Genomic DNA, 9,623 nt, shown 5'->3' with positions numbered 1-9,623 from the left:
ATTCTTCTTTAGAACTCTTGGAAAATTCTTCAAGGATCTGAGAAACTGTGTGCCCAGTGGGTAAAGAGAAACCTAAATAAAGATGCATATTGGGCCATCGTTGTAGTTTGCTCTGGTATCAGTGGGGATGGCATGTGCTAAAGAAATGCAGGCTGCTATTATGACACAAAGCTGGGCTGTATGATGTCGCGTTAAGCACTTGGCATCAGGAGAGTTTGATCTCATCTGAAGTGTGAATAGGATTGGTGAAAGAGTGAAAGAGTGTTGTGTGCTTTTGCTGAGTTTAGGATGGTGTCAATTGTGCCTCAGGAGAAGAGTTTAGACATTCTGTCCTGATGAATGTAATCAAGTCTTTATTTCATGGTTTCTCTTAACGCAAATACGTACAGGTTCATATTCGTCGATGAGGGTGAGAGGAAAACTATCGCCAACAGAAAGAATCCAGATAGGAAGAGAGAAAAAGAAAGACCAGAGATGGTATACTGTGGTGGTTAAAGGCCAGAGACTGGGGAAAAAGTGGTTATGGGTTTAAAGTCTGCCTCCAGCATTTTCTTGCTCTATAATTTTGGAGAAGTTACCAAAAATCTCAAAACCCAAGTTTTTTTGTAAGATATCTACATTTCAGACTTCTTGTGAAGACTAAAAAAGATAATGTAAGCACAAGGCTTAGCACAGTGCAGATACAATAAGGGTGCAATAATTTGTAATTTGCATATGTCTTTATTCAAGAAAGTATTGGTCCAAAGAAAAAGCATCTGTTTATCTAATGGTTTATTTTATCTGCTAAAAGTGCTTTTCTTTCATTTCTGGCTGAGACCTCCTTGGTCCTATTTCTCCCAGGATTCTCCAATTCTAATTTTTGATTCTCCATGATTTTCTCTGATGGGCCATCCCTCCTATATTTAGATGAGATAATACATGAGACACATTTAGAGTAATGCATGGTTGGAGAAAAGTGCTCTATAAATGGTAGGCATACTATTAATTGTCATTTCCATTCATCTTGCAGGATTTTGTGTCCTTTTTAAAACAGCCTCAATCACCTGATTCCTCCCTGCCACTTCTCTGCAAATGATAGAGTTCACACATCTATAATTCTCTCATAGGTTCATGTGGGCTGCTCCTCATAACCCTGCTCAAACACTACTGAGGCATCAGGATCTTCAAGATTCATGTGAGTCGCCTCTCTCCCACGGCCTGCTCCTCTCTTGGCTAACTGGCCAGTTCTCTGGTTTCTCTGGGAATAACAATTGGGCATCTCCGTATGAATGTCGTTTATAGTTCCTTGCCTTGAACCTTGGTGAACTCCTGACCTGGTACCTGGTGCCCAGATTTCATGTCTGACTACTTTGTTTGCTCCAGGGGAATGCAGCTTTGAAAGTAGTGCCATGAATCAAATTGAGTTCAAAACCATGAAACAGAGGGTGTTGTTCAGATATTCATTATGGCAATTTCAGTCCTATTTGGTGCAAGAATGCAAATGCTCCCTGAGAGAAAAGCATCCCAGGCAGAATTAGTGTTTCATGCTAGATATCAGCAAGTCCATATACATAAAAACTTTCTCATTCTTATTTTTTATTTTCACTGAGAGCTATTTCGGGAGAGTTTATTTAAAATCTCACATTCATACAAGCGACTGTTAAAATGCAGCATGGCAATTTAAGGGGACCATAAGTGAACACATCTTTCTGACAACTTCATCATATTCACCTTGACAAGATTCAGAAAAGTGGGAATGTATACAATGTAGAATACACAAGGCAGGAAAATATTAAGGAGAAGAAAAGAAGACTGAAGAACCTAGCAGTTGGGAGGCGATGAGGTCAAAAGAATAATGGAAAAATATATTGGGGGTGGGGGTGGGAGAGACATATAAAAAGAATATTCTTAAAGGGAAGAACAAAAACAGGAGAGCTAAAATCTAAAAGTGTGTTTGTGTGTGTGTGTGTGTGCGCACGTGCCCACATGCTTTGTCCATAGATGTAAAGTATAAGATTTAAAGTAGATTCAGTATTCTAATTTAATGAGACAGGAGAGGTACAGAATAAAGAAAAGGTTAAGAGTGGCTGTAGGAGTTACTGAGCTTAATTTGAGCTTCATAATTATGTATGTATACTGTTATTTCTAGTCTTTCAGAAAACATATGCAGTGAAATTCCCATACAGTGCTTTTGCAGACTGTGGCTTTTTTCTGTTTGCATCTCCCCCTCCTCTTTACTTTTTAATTGTGTTTATACAAAGTAGGTTCTAATTTCCGCCTAGAGCAACACAGTTCTCTGCCTCAGCTATATTTTGCGAAATATAAACTAGAGAAGGGGTGGAGGGGTATTGTGCTAACCTTGAAAAGCCTGTCAGCATGTTCCCTTCCTAACTCAACTGGCCAGATGCCTAATGGGAAAATGAACATGGAAGAGGAATTCAGTGGCATATTTAGTCATGTAATGCTATAATTCTCCTGCCCAGAATAATGTGAAATATTTGGATGAGAGGTCAAAATGCAAGATTAAGAAGACAAAATTGTGTATTTCACACATTTCTCAATATTAAGTGTTTGTTCTCAAGGATCAAATTTTTGTAGATAAAGGAAATGAAATAAAGGAAACTTACATCTCAAGAGAGCATTCATAATGATGTGCTATACCTTGGGATATAGTTTTTACTCCCTAACCCACTCATTTGATTCTCACAACAATTTTTGAAGGTTTGCACATGAGAAAAACCGAGACTCGGTTTTAAGAGGTTAGGCAACTTATCCAAGTCTCAGAAGGAAACTGAAATCCAATTTGGTTTGAATCTCACATTTTAAATTCTACTTTTAAACTTTCTTGGTTAAAAAAAGTATTTCAAAATATGGGGAATGTATCAGAAATGGCAGGATTCAGAAATCACTGTAGTTTTTCTGCCCTATATATTTAATCAGGATGAAAAGAAAACCAAAAAAAGTACCTGTTCGAAGCATTTGTCATTCATTATTTTGAGGAAATCTTGGAGTAAGATGTCCAGGTTTGAAAAAATATTTGCTATTTTTTCTGTTAATGACAACATTGCTATTTAGCTAAAAAAGGAATTTTGGAAAATGTAGAAAATTATGGAGAAAATAAAAATCACTAGGAAGCCCACTATATTAGTCAGAGTTTATGCTAGCTGCTATAATAAAGTCACCCCCAAATTGAGTGAATTAAAGATTACAAAAATTAATTTCTCTTTCATATTAGAGTCCTGAGTGTATTTTAAATTGGGTAGTAGTTTCTTCATTTTCAATGTGTCTTCCAAGTTTATTCTAGCCATCAACATTCCAGCCAGCAGGAAGAGAGAAAAGAACTCTCGTGCAAAAATTTATGGGCAAACATCTCTTCTACTCACTTCCGTTTTCAGAAGCAAAACCATGGTCCATCCTAGACACAGGAAAGTACAGTCCCCAGATAATCTATTCTTCCTCTAGTGCTGAGGGTGGTGTCTTTTCTCATTTGGACTGCTACAACAAAATATATTAGACTGGGTAATTTATAAATAACAGAAATTTATTGTTCATACTTCTGGAGGCTGGGAAGTCCAAGATCAAGGCAACGACACTTTCAATGTCTGGTGAGATCTTGCTCTCTACTTCCAAGATGGTGCTTTCTTCCTGTGACCTCATGTGTTGGAAAGGCAAGGCAGCTCCCTTCAAATTCATTTATAAGGACACAAATCTCATCCCCAAAGACCCCACCTCTTAATATTATTATTACATTGGGTATTAAGTTCAAATGAATCAACTCTGGGGGAAACACCAACATTCAGATCATAGTAGATAGAATAAATTTCAGATGAAAATTAGCTCCATCCACAAATAACTATTATTATATTTTATTTGATATCCCTACAGAATCTTAGTATGAATACCCATATATACATGATTTAAAAACAAAATATCTGCTGTTTTGTAACGTGCTTTTTTTCATTAAGCAAGAATATTGGCAATACTGTCCCATGTCATTAAATATTCTGGTATAACATCACTGAAATGTGGCATAAATATTCCATTATCTGGATGTCACATATTTTATTCAACCAAACACCTGTAATTTTCCCCAGTATTTCACTAATATAAAAGTGAGGTGGATGACTTTATATAAAAATCTTTCTATACATCTCAGACAAATTCTTAGAAGTCAATAGGTAAGAAATTGCTAATATATATTGCAAATATGCCCTAGAAAGATAGTATCAACTCATTGTCCTATCAGCAACATTTCCCAGTAAAAATATCCGGGACTTAAAAATACAAGAATCACCTACCCTTGACTTCTTTAGCACAATTATCTCCATTATTATAGAAATGCTTCAGACTAGGCCTCTGCCTATGGACATTAGTCATTCCAAAATATTTACTTCCTTCTCTGACACTTCCGTGGAAAAAACATGCTTCACTACCTCCTTGAGTTTGGGCTTGGCTATGTGGTCAGGGCTTGCCTGGTTGTGCAGCCTCTCGTTTCTCTCACGTTGCCATGAGTTAATTTTCCCCTGGAAAGCATTTAATTGAAGAAGGATGAAGCCTCAGGCAGACTTAGGTGCAATCAGCAGCTTACAGCTGCCCAGCCAAGCCCAGCCTAAATCAGCCAGATGTGAATGAAATCAACACCTCAATGTTGTATGACACTGAAATTTTGTGGTTGTATATTTTGCAACAATGGCTGTCTGATACTCTGGTAACACCCATGAGAAAGGAACTGACCAGCATCTGGGGCAGGCTGCTCTGTCCCTGGCTCTTCACACCTTTCCTTTGATCTGTCTGTGTAAGTGATTGCTCCTTAATTTCCAGGTGTCAGCAGGTGATTTGTGCTAAAGTTATTATCCTAGTTTTGCCATTTCAGTCTTACATGTTTTTACATTTTTACTTTCTCTTTGTTCCAAACTTCAGTCCCAATCCAGTGCAAGAGGCTAATAGAGTGTGGAACAGCATTTGGCTTCTAAAATGTCAAAGTATAATGAGAAAAGGAAAACAATTATTAACAGAACTGGTCACAGACACCCATGGGTTGCATCCTTTTATCCCACACATTGTAAAGGCAATGCAGTGAGGTTATCAGCAGAGCCTAAACATCAGATGCATGACTTCAGTGGAGAAGCTGTGATACAGTTTCTTAAACGCTTAATAAAAAGGACAAGTTTAGTAAAAAACAAAACAGAACAAAACAACAAGAACCATATGCAGCTTAATTAACTCTTGTGGATAAATCCCAAACATTTTATTCTAGGGACTGATCAAGATCCTTGTTTTAGGGACAAATTTTTGTATTTTCAACATTTTATTAACTCATGGAACTTCTGCAAAACCATTCCACAGATAATGATCTCAAGACTATACTGCTTAACTGAGTCAATCAACATTTATCAGCCATGTGCAGGAATATCTGTTAAAGACCAGGAATCCAAAGACCCATATGCATGTTTCCTGTGCTCAGCAAGTTTACAACCTAGCAGAAGAAAAGAGACACGACATATAAATCGGTCCACTTTAGAAGTGCTGTGACTGACCTATGGACAAGGTGCTAAGGGAAGAGGAACGACGTAAAGCCAGGCTTCAACCCAGTACCCTGTCTCCCATTCTATCAAACCACACTGCATTTTACATATTAGACCTTTTTAGTTTCATTTTCTGCTTTGCCTGGCTTCTTGCCACCAAGTCATATACTGTCATCCCCGTTGTTTTTCTACGTAACCCACCTCCTTTTTTTTTTCAAGACGGCATTTCACTCTTGTTGCCCAGGCTGGAGAGCAATGGTGCGATCTCGGCTCCCTGCAACCTCTGCCTCCCGGGTTCAAGCAATTCTCCTGCCTCAGCCTCCTGAGTAGCTGAGATTACAGGTGCGCATCACCACACCCAGCTAATTTTGTATTTTTAGCAGAGGTGAGATTTCACCATGTTGGTCAGTCTGGTCTCGAACTCCTGACCTCAGGTGATCCTCCCGCCTCAGCCTCCCAAAGTGCTGGGATTACAGGTGTGAGCCACCGCGCCTGGCCCCCACCTCCTTTTAAATAAATAATTTCGAACTTCTGTGACCCTCTTGGTAAAAAAGTCTCTATCAGTCTCCATTCTTTACATTTTAGCCTCAACCCTGGTTCCTCTTTCTGGTAAGTTTGCAGAGGTTGAAATCCCCTACATAAAGTGTGCAGGACTTTAGAAATTTTCAGTGGAGTTTTGCCCTATAGAGAGTTGTTTTAAAGCAAACATCGTTTAGAAGTAGCTAAAAGAGCCTATTACATTATTACCAGTCTGAGACAAGAGAAGATTATTTTTTGTTTATGTTAATCTAGATCTCAGACATGCTATGAACGTGAATCCATGATAGCAAATCCAACTGAGAAGAAAGCAACTTGTCAACTCTGTGCCTTCCTCACCAAGGAGCTCTTTTCTGCAGCAAAATTAGAGATCATTAATTATTAGTCTCATTTTCCTGATGGTGATACTGAGACCTTATAAGAGGAAACTGATTAAAGACTATTCTATGAGTTATGAAATAGTCAAGGGCACAATCTGCTAATTGGTTGTGTAAATTATACTTTTTGGTAAATACAAAACAGTGTTATCCAAAACAGTCATCTATCAACAGGATCATCCAGGGAACATTTTATAAATGATTCCAGGCCTCTCTTCACCCTTTAGAAATGGTGATCATTACAGAGCAGATCCAGAATCTCTATATTGTTGTTAAGAAGTCCCTCAGATGATTTTAATAATCAGCCTGCCCAGGGTTGCTTTATAGAATATTTCTTGGGAACATTATAACTCTTGAAACATTGAATTCTCACCTTCTTTAAATTCTCTCCTTTAACTTCTAGTCAGAATAATGACTATGATTCTTGTTTCTTAGACCACAGTACTAGTGGAAAACTGAGGCTCATAAATGCTTAAGATCCAGGACTCAGCAGGATTCAAGGTTTTGGGGACCAATGTGTCTCACTGTCAATGACAGATTTTGATTTTGGTCTTCCATGACTATGTGTATAATCAGGAAAGGAGGTAACTTCGTGGTCCCTTTCCTTCCCAGGAAGTCCTGTGGAGGGCTTCTGTGCTGGAAAATTCCAGGTGGCACCACCCATATGTCACTAAGTGTTCTGTCTCTTGAGAGCTTTAAAGTATCTCTTCTCCATTGTAGCTAATCATGCTTGCTACCTTCACTTTCTACATATAGGCTGCATGAGTTTTTGACCTTTGAAGTTTGCCTTGCTCTTCTCAAGGTTACAATTACTATTTTGGGGGGATCTAAATCAGCACTCAAAGAGTGGGGGGGAATTCATTCTACGACTTCTTTTTCCCAAAACATTTTGATCCATTATGGGTTTGGGTATTGACTCACTAAGCTTCCCTTCATATAGAATCCATTGCCCTTCTTGCAGGTGTCTGAGGCTTAACATAGGAAACCTAGCTCTAAACTAGCTTGGCATGTGACTCGTAGGTATACTTTCAAGAACAGTGCCTTACTTACTAAGACTCCTGACAACCTGCCCTGAAATTTCATAGTTACTAGGGTGAGCATATAGAGCCTTGTGCTTCCTTTGAAGTCATGTATGTGCATGCACACACGCACACACATATATGCACAGATAAAAAGGTGAAAGATTTGAAGGATTAGGAGTTAGGGCCAGGGAGGAAAGAAACAATATAAAAATAGAATACAAGTATTACCTGGGTTGCTCAATGTGGAATCTTTGATCACTAGGCAACACATACCTGTAAACAGGTGCTGTTGAAATTACAAAAGAAATGCGTTCTCAAGAAATTTACCAGATTTGGCAGTATTAACACATCTAAAATAGTATGAAATCATGTAATGCAGAACGAAATTAAGTGCTAAAATATGTGGAAAACTATAAAAAAGTGATTTAGGATTCTATTGCATTGTCTGCCCCTGTGTCATAAAAAAGAAAACCATAACAAAGCACCACCACACAAAACACGCAAAACTTGCTCGACTGGGTCATGCCACTTTACTAAAATGCCATCTTTCTCTTTGCTAGGGATTATTTTACTATCTTCTCTCTTTTCTTTTTTGTTTTAACCTAGCAGCTAAGCATAACAAATGTAGAAAAACTAAATAGGAAAGTGGGAAAGCTGCCTCTCTTATTTTAGAGCTTGACAAGATGTGTTAGCTTTTACATTTTGAGCTCTGTAGGATGTCAGGCACTTCAGAGCAGGGGTGGCATCTATCTTTATGGTGCTAGATGCACAGGCATCCTATTTGGATGAAATCATCCTTTGTTTCATTTTTTTAAAAAAATAGAGTTTGTCAAGGTCCCCAGAGTTCCTTCTAAAGAGGCAATATGTCCTCTATTTTCATCTGCAATTCTGGGCACCCCACTGCAGAGCAACGTGCTGCTGACTGCAGAGTGGCCTCCTGCATGAGCCTTTGTGTGCTCAAGCTTCAGAATGTTCCTGCCATTTGAGAGCTCATCATGCCTTTTCCTGGGGGCCTCCAGGGACATAGCAGTGGGAATGCACATGTCCTGTTGTCCCATGCCACTTGTCGTCACCAACAGAAGCTCTCAAATGCCCATTTTTTTGTGAGGCAGTGGTTGCCATGGCTGCCCATGGGAATCGCATGGGGAAGCTTTAACAAACACTGAGGCCTGAGACCCATCTGAAGATCCTGACTTAATGGATCAGTGGTACAGCATGACTATTGATCTTTAAAGTCTCCTTGGGTGATTCTAATATTCACCTGATGTTGAAGGACACAGGGAGGAATAAGATTGAGACTATCTGTGTTGTGGTAGTTAACATGCAGGTGAGGTTAAAATAGAGGAACTTTAGAAGGAATTGTGCCAGAACGTGCACATTCAAATTGGAGTTTCTGGGAATTGTCTTTAGGGCCTACTTTACATTGTCATAAACTTCTGTGTGGGGACCAAACTTGGTGCTTTAAAGTTGAAGATGAGCCTTGGCAATAGCAAGTGATTGGGGTAGAGGCTCCACCGAATTATTTTTAAATCTAATAATAGAAATGATTATGAAGTGAGGCGACTGGTTTGTTCCACTCTATTCTCCACCCATCTGCTAGAATTATCTTGCAAAATGTAAATCAGATTACATCACTCCTCTCTTTGAGACCTTCCAATGGCTTCCCATCAGAATGAAATCCAAAGTCTTATCAAAGCCTCTGGCCTCTGTGCCCTACACAGTAATGTGGCTTTTCCCCATTGCACTGACCTCATCTCCTCCTGCTCTCCCTTTTAATACATGTCAGCCAGATAGGTCTCCTTTCTATTCTTTGAACTTGCCAAATATATTTCCACCTCAGAGCCTTTGTACTTCCTGCTCCCTTTATAATGCGCATTCTCTCAAATATCCAAGTGCCCTTCTTGTTATTCAGGCCTCGGTGCAAATGTCAAATCTTCAGAGAGCTTTTTTCTCTCCACTTTATCTATTCTAGTCACCCTTGACTATGTTATCTGTTTTATTGTTTTCATAGCACTTACTGCTTTCTGAAATTAACTAATTTATTAGCACATGTGTTTGTTGTCTATCTACCCCCACACCCAAAATGTAAGCTCCTGATGACCAGCACCCTGGTTTGTGTTGTTCATTCTTATATCACCAATACCTAGAATAGTGAGTGCCTTGTATGTAGTAGGCACAGAATA

General features: G+C 38.9%; 1 long non-coding RNA gene across 12 annotated transcripts in view; it reads left to right on the top strand.

The window, feature by feature from the left end:
- The first annotated feature begins 223 nt into the window (after nt 1-223).
- LINC02715 (long intergenic non-protein coding RNA 2715) overlaps nt 224-9,623 on the top strand; it is an 82,249-nt gene continuing 72,849 nt past the window's right edge. For 4 of the 12 annotated variants that reach the window (NR_187367.1, NR_187369.1, NR_187372.1 and 1 more), the window contains exons 1-2: nt 224-477; nt 1,010-1,174. This is a non-coding gene — a long non-coding RNA (long intergenic non-protein coding RNA 2715). Of the gene's footprint in view, nt 654-1,009; nt 1,175-9,623 lie in introns of all 12 variants that reach the window. The other 8 variants (NR_187375.1, NR_187371.1, NR_187373.1 and 5 more) reach the window with 5 other exon arrangements.

The sequence above is a fragment of the Homo sapiens genome, chromosome 11 (assembly GCF_000001405.40).
Source record: "Homo sapiens chromosome 11, GRCh38.p14 Primary Assembly".
Taxonomy (NCBI): domain Eukaryota; kingdom Metazoa; phylum Chordata; class Mammalia; order Primates; family Hominidae; genus Homo; species Homo sapiens.
Note: the sequence above shows the minus strand (reverse complement) of the source record. Positions and strands in the feature narration are given on the sequence as shown.